The sequence below is a fragment of the Homo sapiens genome, chromosome 5, assembly GCF_000001405.40.
Source record: "Homo sapiens chromosome 5, GRCh38.p14 Primary Assembly".
NCBI classification, from domain to species: Eukaryota; Metazoa; Chordata; class Mammalia; order Primates; family Hominidae; genus Homo; species Homo sapiens.
Genome location: NC_000005.10, coordinates 11,234,488 through 11,253,360, shown reverse-complemented (window position 1 = coordinate 11,253,360; position 18,873 = coordinate 11,234,488). Strand labels below are relative to the sequence as shown.

Genomic DNA, 18,873 nt, shown 5'->3' with positions numbered 1-18,873 from the left:
GCTACAATTCAAGATAAGATTTGAGTGAGGACACAGCCAAACCATATCAATAGTCCTTAATTGAATAAATCACAGGTAACTCACAAAAGCCAGAGAAAGGCAGGACATGACAAATCTGGGAGGAATTTGAACAAATGGGGCCCAGTGAGAAGCCAAGTAAAATTTAGAGACAGATCATGAAAGAAAAGAAAAGGAGAGGTGTAAGAACTGGTTGAGAGCACTGATGATTTTTTTCTTCAGGTATGACCTTTTATTCTCTGTTCCATCTCCTGACCCTGGGCCCTGGAATAACCTCAGACTGAGGTTGCCTGAGATTATAAATGGAGAAAGCATAGCAGAGATATTTATTTGCAAACAGTTCATTGCTTTATAAAAGTCAGCAACATAAAATATCTCTGTGTGAGATACTGCTATTTTTAGATTACACAACTCTTGATTTAGAGGGGAGAAGGCAATCATAATTGAAAGAGCCATAAGAAACATGGTGTTAGTCCTACAGTAGATGAATTTTACTTTATCCTCATGAAATTACTGAGGAGTACACATTCATTTTGGTGCCCAACTTGCAGTGGCTTATAAAAATAGTAACAAAAAGTGTTTGATGAGAGAGTGAGCCACCTGGGTAAGACTGTGGGCTCTGAAGAGAGCCTGTGGTTAATTCTGCCTCCATCACCTGATCATCTCTGAGACTCCTAGCAAGTGGCTGAAGCTCTCTATACTGCAAATGTTACATCTATAAAATGGAATATTTATGGCACCACCCTGATGGGAATGTGATGAACATTAAGTGAGGAAGGCATAAGAGCAGTTCTTAGCAACACAGAACATGCTCCTTAAATGTGAGCTTACATTATGTTGACTTCTACTTGTAAGAAATGAACTTATGCCAGTGCTTATTGTAGAATATTGTTATGTACAGGAGATAATCTCTCTGATTATTGAATCTGTAGTTGTCTATAGACATAGAACTAAGGTATAATCTCCCCCCCACCCCAGTTTCTGATCACTGCAGTGCAGTGAAATCTAGAAAGAGCTGCTTGTTACACTGACCTGACAGCAGTTTTCACATCACTGAGTTTGTTTGCTTTCTCTGGCTGTCAAGTCTCTCATTGATTTCTCATTCTGCAGTCTAAGTCCATATCAGCCCAACAAAGGATCTGGGGAAAGGGCAACAAATGGGTGTGAAGGAGGTCCCTTAAGTTCACGTACAAGTTTGAAGACATTAAGAGCAATTTGATGCAGTGAAGAACAAGCTGAATATAATAAAGCATTTTCAGTAATGCTACTGCCACTAAAATGGTGTTTTTGTCATGAACATTGCAAGATCTCATTCTACTGTACTCTTGCTAATGTAAAAAAAGATAAAGCAATTCTAAATGCTGATGTTTTCCCCAAAATTTATAGTATTTTTAAATATATAAATAATTGTTAAGGAAAGCTGTGATTTAGGACTTTCAAAGTCATAAAACGATACATTTCAAAACATTTACATAAGCAAATTTTTAGAAATTGAGTGTAAGTCTATTTTCCCAAACTACAAGTTTTTATTTATTTTACTTAGCTACTGTGTCACTTAATTGAAATTCTGAAATTCTGAGTATAAACTTTTACAAGACGAACTTCCTATTCATATACACATAATTTGCCCTTCTCCCAATAATTGTTCATTTTGCTGAAGTTTTTCATTAATGGTTAGGTCACAGCTGTCGTGAGGACGATTCGTTTGCTCTGTTTCCAAACTATATGCCAAGGTGTCCCAGGGCAACATAGGAAATTCGAGGGATTCCGAGGGATATTTTAAATTTTCAAGATAAATACGGTATCTTGAAACCAGGTTGAAACATGAGCTCCCATTAGTTCAGTTTCAAAATCCAGCTGTGCCACATTCCTTTCAATGATGTCATCACTTTGCATACCAGGATTTTCAGAGGTTTCTGTGATATGAAGCAAGTGCTAGTGACAATCAGCATAGGAGAGGATGTGAAGATGGCATTGTCTGCTTCCAAGTTTTGAGAAGTTGTGCAGTGCCCCAAAGCACGGACATGTTAGGATGTAGATGATTCAAGCTGTTCAGACCTAAGAACTTACTAAATGGAACTGTCAGGCATTTATTTTGGCCTGGGGGGCACCCTGTGAAACATGAAGAGGTTTGTGAACCCATAAAGTTCAGGAAACTCAAGTTCTATAAAGTCAAGCAGCCGAAACACTCCGGCCAATAATTGTGTTCAGTCACTTCTCACAAATAAAAAATATTTGATTTATAAAAAATAAATCTGTACAACACTTAAATAATAAACCAACATTCTTAAAGACCCAAGTTCTTTTTTTTCCTAGTGGCTTCAGTTTGCTGCTATGGAAATAGACCTTTTAAAATGCTTAATAAAGAAACCATCGTTCTTAATTAGTGAAAAAGATCATAGATGCATTTATTATTTGCACGAACAAAACTATGTGTCTCTGCCACTTAGTCTTTATGGTGTAGTCAAACGTCTTCCATCTGCCCTGTGTACCCCTCTACCTCATTTTAAATTATAAAGGTCTATGGGCTGGGTGCGGTAGCTCACGCTTGTAATCCCAGCACTTTGGGAGGCTGAGGCAGAAGGATCACTTGAGCCTTGGAGTTGGAGACCAGCCTGAGCAACCTAGTGAGACCCTGTCTGTAGAAAAAATTTAAAAACTAGCTGAGTGTGTTGGTGCGTGCCTGTAGTACTAGCTACTTTGGAGGCTGAGACAGGAGGATCACTTGAGCTCAGGAATTCAAGGCTACAGTGAGCTACGATCCACCACCACACCCCAACCTAGGCAACAGAGCAAGACCCTGTCTCTAAAAAAAAAAAAAAATATATGTATATATATATATATATATATAGAGAGAGAGAGAGAGAGAGAGAGAGAGAGAGAGAGCACCCTTTAAATTCACCGCAAACTTTCAATTAATTTTCAAATTAATTACACACATTCTACTTAGAGTTGAGCAGACACAGAAGTAAGAAAAAGGCTAGTCTAAGACTTTATCAATGGGTAGAAATGAAAGGTAATTGGGTACCATTATATTGAAATCAACGTTATTTTTTATTATTGTTGCACTTGAAAACAAAACTTGCTTATGTATTCAGTTGTACAGATACAGAATCATCCAAGACAATGACCTATAGTTGGGCCTTTCAACAGCCTTTTCACCCATGGTCCACTGTTGGTTATTTTATTCAAACTGAAGGGTGAAAATATTCTCCACATTTTATATTTAAAGAAATGCAGACTCTGGAAATGGAGGTAAGTTAAAAGTTTTATAGCAAAGTACTCTGAAATATGATCAAAGAAAATCCCTATGGAATTGCTTTGCTTTTAATGTCTAGTAATGAGAAATAATTATGAATGGACACTTGGACACTGCAGCCCTTTATATCCTCATATTAAGAATATGCCCAAATATTCATATGTTCTTTAGGATTTCTTTAAGGACAAAGTGAAGCAATACACATAGATGAGTGTGTTTTGGTTTTTTTTTTTGACATGGACACTAATGACTGTAGATCTAATTAAATGGCTTTAGATTTTTGGTTTTTTTTTTGTTTGTTTTTGTACTATTCTAGCGGCTAAATAACCACACTCAAAAGCTTTCCTCCCATTCCTAATGTATTTCAGGTTAAAACAATCTAATGTAATCCATGAAGTCATTCCTCAAAAATTATACTGAAGTGTCAAATATGAATACGAATGGTAAATATGAATAGAAAATATGATGGTCCCTAAACCACAAAAATGACCACACAACTCACAGTAGCCTGGCTGATATGAATGACTGCTCATTCTTGGCCAATCACAGGTTGAACATTACTCTGTTTTTTCTCCTTCTAGATAAGATTATTCAAGCCCCCTGACCATGAAATTTCCCCTACATCCTCGTAGCACCCAATCCAGAACAAAGCCTTGCTCCTTTGAATCTTCCCAAGACACACAAAACAAGTCAAATTTTGTCAGTCTATTCAACGCCCTCTTACTGATATGTCCCATGGTTTCCCATGGTGTGAGTCCTTTCTTATTACGAGCAATAAGCCCAACTTGGTTCAAACACAGGTGTGATCCTGATGCCCTCGGTTGGATGGCAGTGACATTGCTAGCAGCTTGTTTCTGAAGTACACTCTTCCTGAATGCCACACCACATGGCCTATCAGGAAATGAACCCATAAAACAAGAACAAGGAGTACGCTCTTCCTTCTTAGATAACAGGCTTTTTCTGGTAGATAATTCTGCTCCCACTGTGTTGCCCACTACAATCTGAGGGCAGGAACCAGTGTTTGGTACTAGAGGCTGACAGCTTTGGAGAGCACAGCGACCAAATGTTAGGCCAAATTAGACCACATTTTGTTAGATTCTATTAAGATTTTCTTTAGAGGAAGTATCTCTGCTCAATATTATCTGAGATAAATTAAGTTGGCATTCTTCGAAGAACTAAGATAAGGTGATGATGATGAAAACCAAAAATGGATATTGTTAAATCATGTTCTAGCCAAGACTAGACTCCGGTAAACCGTCAGCCCCAAAGTATGTGTTCATGGTTCACATTGTAAAGACACTGTGACAGGTACTTCAGGACACGTTCTCACTTCCAGAAACACAGAGCTTAGTGTGGAATCTCAAGAGATGGTGTTCTTGTTATTAGAATGCATCTACCTGTATCATTGTGGCTTCTATCAGAAGTTAAGTTTTCATAAAGAGATTCATCAAGTGCACCATTTATATTTTTCTCAGGGACAATTGTCAAGTGGTATGGTTACCTAATTTATAAGAAAGTGTGCTCTAGTCTATGGTTTATACACAATGTATTTTAAGTCTATGTATCAAGTTTCCTGTAACATGTATATTATATGTGTATATATGCATTATATGTGTGCATAAGTACAAACACACACATACTATATGTATTATACATATATAATATCTACACACTATATATTATACACACAGATCTGCACATATACATACACATGTGCCCACATGCACATATATATATATATATGTATGTATAATAAAACATTTTGAGGGTGACCAAGGCCTTTGTGGTTTTCTCAAATTCTTAATCTAATCCTGAGGCAAAATTCTGATCTTACCCTGATATCAACAAAGTAAAAAACACTGCTCAAATGTTCTTAAATCTCCTGATCCGAGTATTTTGGGCATCAAATCCCTTCCCTCTTATTTACACTCCAGGTTCACAGCTCCAGGTGATTTTCTAAGAAACATCACGGGCTGTTAATTTTAAAATAGATACATAGTGGTGAACATAAACATTTTCTATAAAGTCATCATGCTTTACAAGGTAAAGTTTATGGACACTAATTTGTATTTTTTCCCTTGGGCTGTTACCACCAGACAGAACCTGTTAGAATTTCCAGGGCAACTAAATTCTTACATGTTTGAGGTTATTTTTTCCATTTTGTAGCATATTTTTATTGAAAAAGTCTAGTTGCATTAATGAATGAATAAATGCTGTTTTAAAGTTAATTGGATATTGCATAGGTATTATGACATAATTGATGATATCCATTGTAATCTAATGGTCTTTGAGAATATTTATGTCTTCTAAAGGACCTAAATATTCTATATAGAAGCAGAAATTTGTTAATATTTAAGCTACATGTAATTAAATTTGATAACTATTAGCATAAATTGGGGCTAATCATTTTACATCATTCCTCACCCCTAACTTCTAATAAATTGAATTCAGAGAAGAAGCCCATTGCTTGACTAAGATTAATGTAAGGCACTTAGTGTCCATAATAGTTCAGAAATAGCCAATTTTCTCATCATTTTACTGTTTTCTCTCTTCACTTTACCAGCCAGGAGAAAACTTGCTAGTTGAAATTGTTCCTTCTAATTGTGAAACAAGAGATCCCAGTCCCCACAGTCCCCACAAGGTGGCCTTCCTTGACTAACCTGCGTAGTGGGCCCAGGCCCCCAGTGATATGGGTGGGAGGCGTGGAGTAGGCTTTGCATAGGGTCTCACAGAGGGCCTCTTTCTTTTCTCACACTCAAATGCACCCCTCCAGGAATTCCTGCAGGCTCTACCTTCAAAGGGCATCCAGACTGCCCGTGCTTCTCAACACCCTCTGTCCCTGCTGGGGCTGAGCCACCATCTGCCCCCAACTGCTCTCAGCTCCTGCCCCACCCCTCAGAATCTGTTCTTAACCTAGCATCCAGCGGGGGCCTTTTCCAGAACTCAGCATCATCCAGGTGTAATTGATACCCAAGAAATGCAAGATTTTAGGCCTGCAGTTTATGAGAGTCAATAGATGCACACATCCAGGCAGCCACCGTCAAAGGGATCTTTTAAGAATGTGAGTCAGATCCCAGCGTTCCAGTGGCTTCCCTATGTCTTGGAGCAGAAGCCAGAGGCCTGCGATGTCGGACACATCAGGGCCCCCTGTTGGTCTCCCAGTAGGGCCCGGGACTCACTTCTCTTCACCCCGTGACCTTCTTACCTCTTGTCTGACATGCCAGGCACACTCCTGCCTCAGAGGCTTGTTACTTCCGTTTTCCTGTTCTGGAATGTTCCCTCCACTCAGCTCCGGTGTCACCTTCTCGGAGCAGTCTCCCCTGGCCTCTGTATTTATAATAACCACCCCCCACCCCCCCACCCACCTACAGACACACAGACTGTCGTGTCCCTGTCTCTACTTGGCTTTACTTTCCCATCCAACTTGTATGAGTTTCCTGGTGGTGGCCATAGCAAAGCACCACCAACTGGGTGGCCCAAAACAACAGAAATTGATTCTGCCAGACCAAAATCATGGTGTGAGCAGTGTAGCGTCTCTCCAGAGGTGCTGAGGGAGAGTCCTGCCCCTCTTCTCGCTTCTGGTGGTGCCCGGAATCCTCGGTGTCCCTGGGCTTGTGGCTGCATCACTCCAGCCCCTGCCTTCCTCTTCACATTGCCTCTCTCTGTGTCTGTGTCTTCCTTTGTCTCTTATGAGGGCACTCTCTTTTGACTCAGGGGCCACCCCAATCCAGTCTGATCTCATTTCCATCCTTACCTCAATTACATCTGCAAAGATCCTATTTCCAAATAAGGTCACGTTCTAAGGTTCCAGGAGGACATGAATTCTGGGAGACACTCTTCAACCCACTACACATGTATCACTATCTGACAAATAGTACATTCTGCTCTTTTAATAATTTTAATGACCAGTGACCAATCGAAAGTCAGCTCCCCAAGAATAGGAACCTTTGCTCCATTCAACACTGTATTCCATTGGACAAACACGCAGTGGCCATTAAACATTGTTTGGAGGAGTGAGAGGGTTCCTGACTGAATCCTTAGACAAAGCAGGCAGGCAGCCTGCAGGAACATGGCAAGAGGTGAAAGCTACTGGGCCCTACTGAAATAAGCCGAAGCTCAGGGAAATTGCATTTCCAACTCTTAGATGAACGAGAGGTGGTCAGAAAGTCAGAGTAAATCAATGGAAGAGTCGGCCTCATAATCAAAAGTCACATCGAAGACTCTCCAAATTGGAATCAGAGGTGGTGCTTCTTGGCCTCTCTCACCTTCTTGCCCTAATGGGGTGGTCTCTTTCCAGGCTTAAAAGGGCCGTGTCCTGGGGTCAGATGGGCTTCTGTGTTAGATTCCTGCTGCTGCTAATACAGATTAACACAAAACTGGTGGCTTAAAACAACACACATTTATTCTCGTACAGTTTTGGAGGCCAGAAATCCAACAGAAATTCATTGTGTTGCAGTCAAGGTGTCTGTACTGCCAGGCTCCCTTTAGAGGTTCTAGGGGAAACTGTCCTGGCCTTTTCCAGCTTGTAGAGCTGCATTCCTTGCACCCCTTGGCTCGTGGACCCCTCCTCCATGCTCAGCACAGCAGCATGGCCTCGTGCGTCAGTGTTACATTGCCCTCTTCTGCGTCCAGTCTCCCTCTGCGTCCCTCTTCTTAGGACACTTATGATGGCATTTAGGGCCCACTGGCTAACCGAGGATCATCTCCCATCTCAGGATACTGAATCACATCTGCAAAGTCCATTTGGCCATAGAAGGCAGCATTAGCAGATTCTAGGGACTAGGACCTGGATAACGTTGGGGGCCACTCTTCAGTCTTTCCCAGTGTCCTAACCAGAGTCTTTATCACAAATATAGGGACAGGTAGAAAAGGTCTCAGATCCCTGCCCCCTAAATTCCCAGTGGGGATTCTGTCCTTTCACTGAACGAACAAGAATAGCCCCTTTTCGCCTTTGTTCATTTCTCTCCTGTTGTCAGGGCTACTTGTAAGGAAATAATCAAATTTGATGCAAATCAGGCATGAATGCTGACCCTGTGTTTATAACATTTGAATTCTCTCTCTTTTGTGTACTTGATTTTTCATTTCCGTTTTGTCATCTTATCTCATATATAATTTGTCTGAGTTGCCTCAATCTTTTGTGAAAACTTGGGTATAATTAATAATACAAATTTTATATGAGAAGGGAATATCTGATTGGAAGGAGGAGCTGCTGGCTGGGTGGAGCACCTTCTAGTCCCCCATGAGCTGAGCACTTCTCCAGGGAGATCTGTGGCTGCTCCATCATGAGGCCAGGACCAGAAATCATGGTTGAATGAATTAATGTTTATGATACAGTTTGGGGAATTAATTTTCCTTAGCATATGCTTGGAGAAGGCCATTTCTTCCTTAAAAATGGTATAACCGTTGAGCTTACTTTCCAGATAGTCATAATTCTAGTGCTATTGTTTATATAAAAGCCATGTTGGTGTTTTGAAAAAATGTGATTAATTTTATAGGACAGGCCGGGCGCCGTGGTTCATGCCTGTAATCGCAGCACTTTGCGAGGCCAAGGTGGGTGGATCACTTGAGGTCAGGAGTTCAAGACCAGCCTGGCCAATATGGCAAAACCTTGTCTCTACTAAAAATACAAAAATTAGCCAGGTGTGGTGGTGGGTGCCTGTAATCCAAGCTACTCAGGAGGCTGAGGCAGGAGAATCACTTGAACTTGGGAGGTGGAGGTTGCAGTGAGCCGAGATTGCGCCACTGCACTCCAGCCTGGGCAACAGAGTAAGACTGTCTCAAAAAAAAAAAAAAAAAAAAAAAATTGTATAGGACAGCTTTTTGTTTTTAGTTACAAACTATCCAGGAATGAGGATTAAGATATTAATACTTTTATATGTTAATTGTTGAATAAGTTCTCTTTGGTCAACAAGAATGTAAATATCTCCATTTTGTTCTTTAAAAAAATCTATCTAACTTATGACCATCACCCCTGCACCCTTCCTAACTACATCAATAAGCCCAAATGAAAAACAAAATCACCTACTTCCTCTTGACTCTAAATATGAAAGTCAAAATCGGTACAGTCTTTAAAACATTTTGAGTTTAGAGTTTCTAAAGGATTAAAATTATCATACATTTTAATAATGTCCACACAGCCCTGCCCTCAATAGAAATAGTTTAGATTGCAATCAAAGTGAGCCATGTCTGCCACCATAAAGCTTTGCTGAAAATAGTGTGAAATTGTGAGGATTCTAGTTGTCCTGGGACTCTTTTCAATGGGGAAGCTTGATAAGATATTGTGACAATGCATCAACTTTTTGGTTTCCGTACCAGCAGAACAGTCATGAACTGTTGAACATAGTCATGAACTGTTGGCTGTTTAGCTGTGCTGAGCGTTTTGATTTTAACAACTCAGATAGCCCATGTAAGAGTGAGGATTTACTCACAATATTGTGGGCCTGTGTGACAAGTTTTAATGGAGAAAAGGTTACATTTGCATATCCCCATTTCCATTAACATTTCTAAAGTGAAGCCCAGTCACAAATGAGAGTTACGAGTTTGGCTACTGTGGGAAATTGTAGAGGGTTCTCATTTCTCCTCTTCTTAGTTATATACAATACCTGACATTTCTAGAGAGCCCATGCTGGGTGCCAGCCACTGCTCTAAGGGGTTCACATATATTATTTCTAATCATCCCAATAATACTCCCAGGTAGGAATTTTTATCTCAGTGGGACAGATGGACTCGATGTTCATCTACACAGTGAGCACCTCCCTGCCAGCCAGCAAGACTCAGACCCAAGCCCAAGGCTGCAGAGACAGTTAATGGTGGAGCAGGATTCGAACCAAGTCTGGTTGCATCCAAAGACCATTTCCCACTCTAGCACACTGCCTCCCAAGGGGAGTTAGGAAGAAAGGAAATTATTTTGAAAGGGCAAATTGTACTGCTAGCTGAAGCAGTGTCTCCCTTTACACTAAGAGTTCTTCAAATAAGTATAATGTCTAAATGAATACGTATCAGTGAAAGGTTATAAGGTTTATAAAACCTTCAGCGGTATTACATAGATTTTAAGAGAAATGTATCCCTTTTGGCAGTCTTAAAGTAAAAATTACTAGAAAATATCTAGCTCTTAGTAGTTGATCAAGCACTTTCATATATATTATTTTATTTTGGCATTTTAAGAGAAATGCAGTAAAATAGGTGGTATTATTCTTTATATATTGATCCATGGAAACCAAGGCCAGCAAGATCTAAGGGACTGTCCTGTATTTATGGGATAAAAGGGACAGAGCCAGATGTTCAAATTCTGAACTTCTTGACAGGTATTCTGATGCCAAATCCTGTGCTCATTCTAGTACAACAGTCAAGGAGGGAAAGATTTACAACATCCTTGCTCAACAAAACTAATCAAATACAGTACATGTTGAGACCAGAGCTTCTCAACTCGGGCTCTGGTGGCATTTGGGGACCAATAATTCTTTGTTGTGGGGACTGTCCTGTGCACTGCATAAGGTTGGCTGCTTCCCTGGCCTCTACCCACTGGATGCCAGCAGCGCCTTCCACGGGTGCCATCCAAAACTGTCTTCAGGCTTTGCTAAATGTCCTCGGAGGGGCACTGTTTTAGACGCTATTTATTCTTTAGACATTGTCTTTTAAAAATCACTGTTTTAGACATTATTTCAAGAGAATGATTATAGCAGGCAACATAGTTTTATGGCTATATTTATGGATTCGAGAGGAGACAACTAGAATTTTATTCCAGCTTCATCACTTAAGTTCAATAACACCTTAAGTTGCCTCTTCTGTAAGATGAAAATAAACCACACAATGTTCGTTAAGGTTTAGAACATTAAAGTGTGTGACCAGAGAACCTTGGCAACTGACTTTTAGTATGCGCTCACGTTATTACTGGAGATTATTATCTTCCTGTTGTGTAATTCTAAACAAATCTTACTCGATTTCTTTTTCACAACAGTATCCACAGACCAGGTTCAGATTTTTTTGTATTTGAATGAATGATCTTTCATGATCTCATCTCAAACTTGCTTTCCAGCCCCTGCTCCAACTCCCCCTGTTCCCAGACAGCCGTCCTCTCTGGAGGCCCCCATCCCCTTCAGAGCCATGCCCCAGACATGCTGAATGGCTCCCCTTTCCCAAATAACCGACCCCCCACCCCCGGTGACTCCACACCTTGGCAGGTGCTGTTCCCTCCTCTGGTATTTGTTCTTTCCAGAACTTTTTTGTCTTACAGGATCCTCTTTGTCCTTAAGGATTAAGACCTTATGTGAAGAAACCATACTATACACTGAATTCTGGCCGAAATGATCCAGACAGACTATTTTCTGCAGGCCTGCTGCTATTTCTCTGGGGTATATCTCCATGATCAGCAAAAAGAAAACCAAACGGAATCTCATCTAAGCGAAACAAAACTGTTATAGAAAAAGAGCCTTGGAGATAAATCATTCCCCCAGACTTTCTGCTGGAGGGTGCTCTTTTAGCATCTATTTTGTGAAATTGAGGAGAACATTTGAAAAGATTAGTCTTTTCTTAGTGGGTAACTGCTGCAGTGACTGAGTCCTGAGGGACTGCCAATTAGAATAAACCAGAAGTCAACTGCCTGGAGACACAATCAACTCCAACCCAATTTCTGGGAAGCTGGTTTAAGGCCAGAGGATCTGAATGCTAACTTACGTTCACCTTCCAGTCTTGTCTGGCTTAATGATCGGGGCTTTTTCTCCTTCACTCCCTTTCACTGTGCCCCAGAGTTGCTCCCCATAAATGTTGCACCTTCACGTCACCCTCACAGATTGTTGTCTAAGTGCAGTGGGAAGCCACTGGAGAATCTTAAGCCACAGAGTTGTGAGATGCGATGGAGGCATAGAGAAGGCTGCTCAGGTTAGCAGCATGGAGAAGGACTCCTCTGTGTGTGTCTGTGTGTGTTGGGTGTGTGAGTGTATGTTGGGTGTGTTTGAGCGTGTTGGATGTGTGTGTGTACATGTTGGGTGTGTGTATTGGGTGTGTGTGTGTTGGGTGTTAGGTGTGTGTGGTGTGTGTGCATGTGTGTTGGGGTGGGTGTGTGTGTTGGGTGTGTGTGTTTGGTGTGTGTGTTGGGTGTGTGTGCATGATGTGGGTGTATATGTATTGGGTGTGTGTGCTCAGTGTGTGTGTTGGGTGTGTGTTGGGGATGTGTGTGCTGAGTGTATGTGTTTTGGGTGTGTGTGGGTTGGGGTGTGTGTGCTGAGTGTATGTGTTGGGTGTGTGTTGGGGGGTGTGTGTGCTGAGTGTATGTGTGTGTTGGGTGTGTGGGGGTTGGGGGTGTGTGTGCTGAATGTATTTGTCTGTTGGATGTGTGTGTGTTGGGTGTGTGTGTGCTGAGTGTGTGTTTTGGGTGTGTGTGTGTTGGGTGTCTGTGTGCATGTTGGATGTGTGTATTGGGTGAGTGTGTTGGGTGTTGGGTATGTTTGGTGTGTATGTACGTCTGTGTTGGGGTGTGTGTGTTGGGTGTGTGTGCTGAGTATGTGTGTGTTGGGTGTGTGTTTTGAGTGTGTGTGTTGGGTGTGTGTGTTGGGTGTGTGTGTTGGGTGTGTGTGTGTTGGGTGTGTGTGTTGGGTGTGTGTTTGAGTGTATGTGAGTGTGTGTGTTGGGGGGTGTGTGTATGTTGGGTGTGTGTGAGTGTGTGTCAGTGTGTGTTGTGGGTGTGTGTGTTGGGTGTGTGAGTGTATGTGTGTGTTGGGTGTGTGTGAATGTGTGTGTGTTGGGTGTATGTGTGTTGGGTGTGTGTGTGTTGGGTGTATGTGTGTTGGGTGTGTGTTTGAGTGTGTGTGTGTTGGGTGTGTGTGTGTTGGGTGTGTGAGTGTGTGTGTTGGTGTGTGTGTGTTGGGTGTGTGTGTTGGGGGTGTGTGTGTGTGTGTTGGGTGTGTGAGTGTGTGTGTTGGTGTGTGTGTGAATGTGTGTGTGTGTTGGGTGTGTGTGTTGGGGGTGTGTGTGTGTGTGTTGTGTGGCTAATCTAGGAATGACTCTTGCTCTTCTGAGAGTCACTGGTAGAACTGTGGAAACACTGTCCATGTCCAAGCCCTTTCTTCATTCGTTAGCACCTTCATTCTTTCAAAACACGTTTATGTGGAGTCCATCTGGTGTCAGGGAGAACTGTAGGAGCCAGCTGACAAAGATGACCAACAGAGTTGGGGCCCTGGCCTCAGAGCCTACCAGAGTGAAGCGAGAGATGGTCACCTCATGGCCCACAGCATGACGGTGTCATCCTCCACTGGGCATTGCGTGGGTAGGAGTTGGGACGGGATTCCCCGAGGAAGTTGTAAAGAGCCTGAGGCCCCGCATTTGAGTGGGAGGCCACTGGGCCAGGCAGGCCAGGGGACAGGAGGACAGGAGCAGAGGCAGGCCAGGGCCAGGCAGAAGCCTGTGAGGCAGGAGTGGGCGAGCCCAGCAGGGCCTCCAAGGTCATGGGAGTGTCTTAGACTCTCAAGGATGGTGGGAGCCATAGTAGGGTGTGGAGCAGGAAAGTAGCACAATCACGTGTGCGTATCTGCGTATTTAAATGTATTTAAATGCCTCAGGTGGGAAGAGTGGTGATTGGGAGGTGGGAGGAGATTTGCAGATCAGCAGAGTGAAGGTGAGGTCTGGGAGAACAGAAGTGGGGAGGGAAGGGATGCTTGGGATTCCAGAGGTTTTGGGCTTGGGGACAGGGCAGAGCTGGCAGCAGCCTTTCTTTTGACCTAGTGTGAGGGACGTGGATCCCTTCTGCACTCATGAGTCTTTGGAATGTCCATCCTTCCTGTCTGAGTTTGAGGGTGTGTGCAAGCACATGTGCACAGGTGCACGCATGTGTGCAAAGAGCCCCTAAACCTGTTCCCTAGGGTTCTTGTTCAAAAGGTGCACTTGGCATATGCCGTGTAAGCCATCACCTAATAGAGCAATTCCTGACTGGTTAATAAAACAGATTAAAATGAATCCTTTATTAATCACTTTCCAAAAGCATAGGTTTACCTGAATTCATCTTAGCCATCCAGTGTCTCCACACTCCTAATTTTAATTTACAGGTATTTAGTAGATTTCGAATTAATTTGCATAAAGAATATAATTCTAGAGGGCTACTTTTATAAGAAGGACTGTGCTATCTGAGCCTTGCAGACGTGGTTTAGAATTATAAAACAAAAGAAATTAAATTTGAGAGAAAAACAGGCTTTACATTTTTAATTCTATGATTGTTTTCTACTGTGATCACATAGCCAAGAAGGATTCAATAGTTTGTTCATTATCAGCAATCACTTGAGTAGGTTTCTTCACAAGTATATTATTATACTGTATGTCTTTCTGAGTATGTGTGTGTGTGTATATATATAGTGTGTATGTATATCTGTGTGTATATATATAATGTGTATATATATCTGTGTGTGTATATATAATCTGTCTGACTGTATGTAAATTTATAAAATGCTCAGTGCACATTAAATAGAATGCTTTATCTTTCCAATAAAAACGAAGCCATTTCAAGAGGTATTCTATTTCATATTTTATTCACTTGCTGTAAAGGAAGCACCAACATGTTTCAAGGTTTACTTGACAACCTCTACCAACTGTGATAAAGGAAAGATAAAGAGAAGAGGTTAAAATCTTTGAGGACACTTTTAACCTTTGTCTGTTCCTTCTCTGTCCCATTTTTCATGTCTTCTCTTCCCAGATGACAGCATCGACCTGGCATTGATAGGATGTATGCTTTTGAGTTGTTTCATGAGGAATAGAGGTGGTTGCAGAACTGACTCATTTCTCTTCCAGCCTGTTCTTTGGATAAATAGTGCCCTTTGGTGGCTTGTGGGGTCAAGTTTTTACCTGTGGTCTTGGAGGTTGCTATTTTATTTCTCTGTTAAAAATTGGTTCCCTGCTGCAGGGATAGAATTCATACAGTTCGTCCTGTTAGCAGCATGGTCTAACTGGTTGAGTGGAGAGATTTAATAAAAGAATATTTCTTTGTATGACAGTACAATCAAGATAATGTTTTAGAATGGACTTAAATATTTTAAACCATATTGCTTAAGATGACAACCAGCTTCTTGGAGTAGCTCAGATGTAAAAAGGAGGAGACAGGAAAAAGAAAGTGCAATGCATAAAATGTATTAACATTCTGCAAATAATTCTAGCTTCTTAAATAAATAATTTCCTATTATAAAGTCATTATGTTATTACATTTTTATCCCCAGAGAATCATGTAGGCCCCTGTCTATTTTTAAAGAAGAGATTGTGAAAATAACAACAGTAATAAAAATAATAATGATATAAACATTGGCTGCTATCACAACATTTTGGATTGGACTCATCCAATTCTGTTTTCTCTTGTCTGATAATTTAGCTTAATCCTGTGCCTGAATCAGACTATTGAAACAATATACTAGAATAGATATGACCTCTATACCTGATCCATTTAAGACGGACGTGGTGACACATGCCTGTAACCCCAGCTATTTGGGAGGCTGAGGTGGGAGGATCGCTTGAGCCCAGGAGTTTGAGGCTGCGGTGAGCTATAATTATGCCACTGCACTCCAGCCTGGGTGACACAGTAAGACCCCATCTCTTAAAAAAGTTAAAAATAAATAAATGAATAATCCACTCAAGCTTAAATGAAAATGTGTATATTAAAATCATATGCTATTTTAGGTTATTTTTTCATAATCTTTATTAACATGTAACTTCAGTTGATAGATTGATCTGTATATATAATCTATAAAACCAATATATGTAGTATACACGTTTGCACTTGAAAACTATTTACTAGGCTGGGCGCGCTGGCTCACGCCTGTAATCCCAGCACTTTGGGAGGCCGAGGTGGGCGGATCACGAGGTCAGGAGATCGAGATCATCCTGGCTAACACAGTGAAACTGCATCTCTACTAAAAATACAAAAAATTGGCCAGGCGTGGTGGTGGGTGCCTGTAGTCCCAGCTACTTGGGAGGCTGTGGCAGGAGAATGGCGTGAACCCGGGAGGCGGAGCTTGCAGTGAGCTGAGATCGCTCCACTGCACTCCAGCCTGGGCGACAGAGTGAGATTCTGTCTAAAAAAAAAAAAAAAAGAAAAGAAAGAAAACTATTTACTCAAGGGAATCTCTTCCAAATCCCCTTAAATGGGTCTGCATGTAAGAAAACCAGAACAGTCATTTATGAAATATTTTCTTTTAGAGTCAGGTACATTTCATACACGAGCTAACCATGTGTTAACAGTGTGGTAGGATTTCTCTCTCATATTCTCCCCGCTTCTTTCCTTTTGTTCAGAGAATTTGGATGGAGAGACCCGGAACTGCCGGAAGTGATTCAGATGTTGCAGCACCAGTTTCCCTCGGTCCAGTCTAACGCGGCAGCCTACTTGCAACACCTCTGTTTTGGAGACAACAAAATTAAAGCCGAGGTCAGTGCTCCTTGGATTCTGAAATGATTGGTGTCAGATTCATAAGCACTTAGATCTTCTTAATGTTGATGGGGAAAAGAATTAGGAGAACTGAAGTTATGCTTTTAAAATTTAGATCTATATTTATGACTAGAACATAGCATGTTTCATCTAATTGATTAGCATGCCTGTTCATGCATTCTTCGTTTTTTAGTATTTGAATACCGAGGAACAGAGGACCAATAGTGTATGCTAGTTATTAATAGAGGCTGGATTGTCAAATGCCATACTTGGAACGTGATTTGTCTTTCTCTTCCCAATTCCGACTCTGGGAGTTTTCTCTGCCCCTAAATCCTAAAGACATACTAAACATCAATTGTTATCTCCAAATTACAATAAAATTGTTATAGTCAGTATAAGCTATGACCTGTCCTTCCTGAAGAACTCATTGACAGGATAAGGACTCTAGGCACTAAATTGGCTTTGTGTTATAACCAAGTGTTTGGTGCTATTTACAAACGAATAATGGATTAAATGTGGATATGTGTTCCATTAAGGAGACTATTGTCCATGTCCATCATGTAAACAACTGTTAACATGCTCTGTGTTTTTGGGATACATGAAGTGCATATATTATGCTGTGTGATATTTTTGGAAAATCACAGTGGTCACTGCAGCCAAATCTAAGTTTTTTAGACAAGGGACAAGCATTTGCGTATAAGGAACTGAGTAGTCATTTTTTTCAAAAAGATTTTATAAACTATAACGAGTCATCTTTATGGCGTGTAAGCAATTCTGAGGATGAGTCTAAATTAGTTTAAGAGTGGAAAGAGAGATTTGAAGATAAAATTGCAATTTATTATAGATTTTGCTTGCTTGCATTGGGATATACATAGCCTCATGGCTTTTTATTTTTTCCATCTCTCTTCCCCTGGGACTGCAAAGAACATGGTCCATGTTTGTTCTTATCAGGAAAGTCCTGTTTCTTTGTGGAATGAATATAGAGCAATGGTTCTCAACCAGGTGTGATTTTGTCCCAAGGTACATTTGATATCTGGAGACATCTTTGGTTGTCACAGCTGGAGGAGGCTGTGGGTATCCCTTGTAGAGATCAGGGATACTGCCAAACATCCCAGAAAGTGCAGGGCAGCCCCCTCAAGAGAATCACCCAGCCCCAAATGTCAGCAGTGCCAAAGTTTAGATATAGAGAAATATTGTCCATCTAAGAAAAATTTTAAATGTGAAAAAATACCAACTGTTAAAGTGACCTAAAAATGCATTAAAGTTACGTGACTCCTGTCCCAAACATATGTTAACTTAGTCATTCTCTATTTTTAATAGAAAAAACAATGGCCATGCAAAATAAAGGACAGATTTCTGACTGGGGGATCACATACCATCATCATATGTTGTCTTTTTTTGAAGACCATAACTTTTCTCTTTTTTGAAGACTATAACTTTTCTTTCAGTCTTCTTTTTTGAAGACTATAACTTTGAGGGTTTCTCTGAAGGTCATGAAAGCATTTCATTTCATCGTTAGCATGAATTGATTCAAGAGTGTTGTAGTGCCCCGCCGAAGTGGGATGGACTCCCACCCAAAATTTGGTTGTTCTGATGCCAAGGTTGCTGGCATGACTCACACACCAAGAGGGCCTGAAAAGGTGTCACTTACACAGTGAGGCTTTCCAGGCCAAGCACAGTGGCTCCCAGGCATGTCCAAAATTGTCTTGAGAAAGCTTATGGAAAGGAAACTGTCGTGGAGTTTTTATGGTTGTGGGAAGTGGGTTCTCACATGCAGACTGGGCCTTGTACGGGTTGAAACTCCTGCGGATACCAAAAAAGGAAGCTCTTGAGTTTTATCAGCTTGCTCAGATGTGGGGCAGAGGAAGGAAGGGTGAGGCTTCAAAGCTGTCAGAAGTCAAACATCAAGAGATAGAGTCAGACTCTATTACAAGGAGTCACCCGGCCAGGCAATGCAGGCTTCATGGCCCAGGGAAGTCTGAAGTCATGGTCTAACTGGCTCTGTAAACGTGATCCATGGGCCAGCCTTGGGGCCTCTCAGTGGCAATGCCACCTGATAAGAGCTGTAGTGACAGCAGCTGTAGACTTGTTTCCGGCTACATCAGAATGACCCCCAGTGCACTGTGGTGAACACAGGCCTTCCAGTGAAGGGGCAACCAGCACATGAGTCATGGCAGATGGATGAGCTTCCCGGGCTGGCTTT

General features: G+C 41.4%; 1 protein-coding gene across 12 annotated transcripts in view; it reads left to right on the top strand.

Moving 5' to 3' along the window:
- The window catches only part of CTNND2 (catenin delta 2), a 932,611-nt gene that overhangs the window by 651,086 nt on the left and 262,652 nt on the right, over positions 1 to 18,873 (top strand). For all 12 annotated transcript variants that reach the window (NR_109988.2, XM_017009074.2, XM_017009072.2 and 9 more), the window contains one exon: positions 16,538 to 16,670. Coding sequence is in view for 11 of the 12 variants with exons in the window: in XM_017009074.2 (XP_016864563.1) it covers positions 16,538 to 16,670 (133 nt within the window). In the remaining variant the exon portion in view is untranslated. The remainder of the gene's footprint in view (positions 1 to 16,537; positions 16,671 to 18,873) is intronic.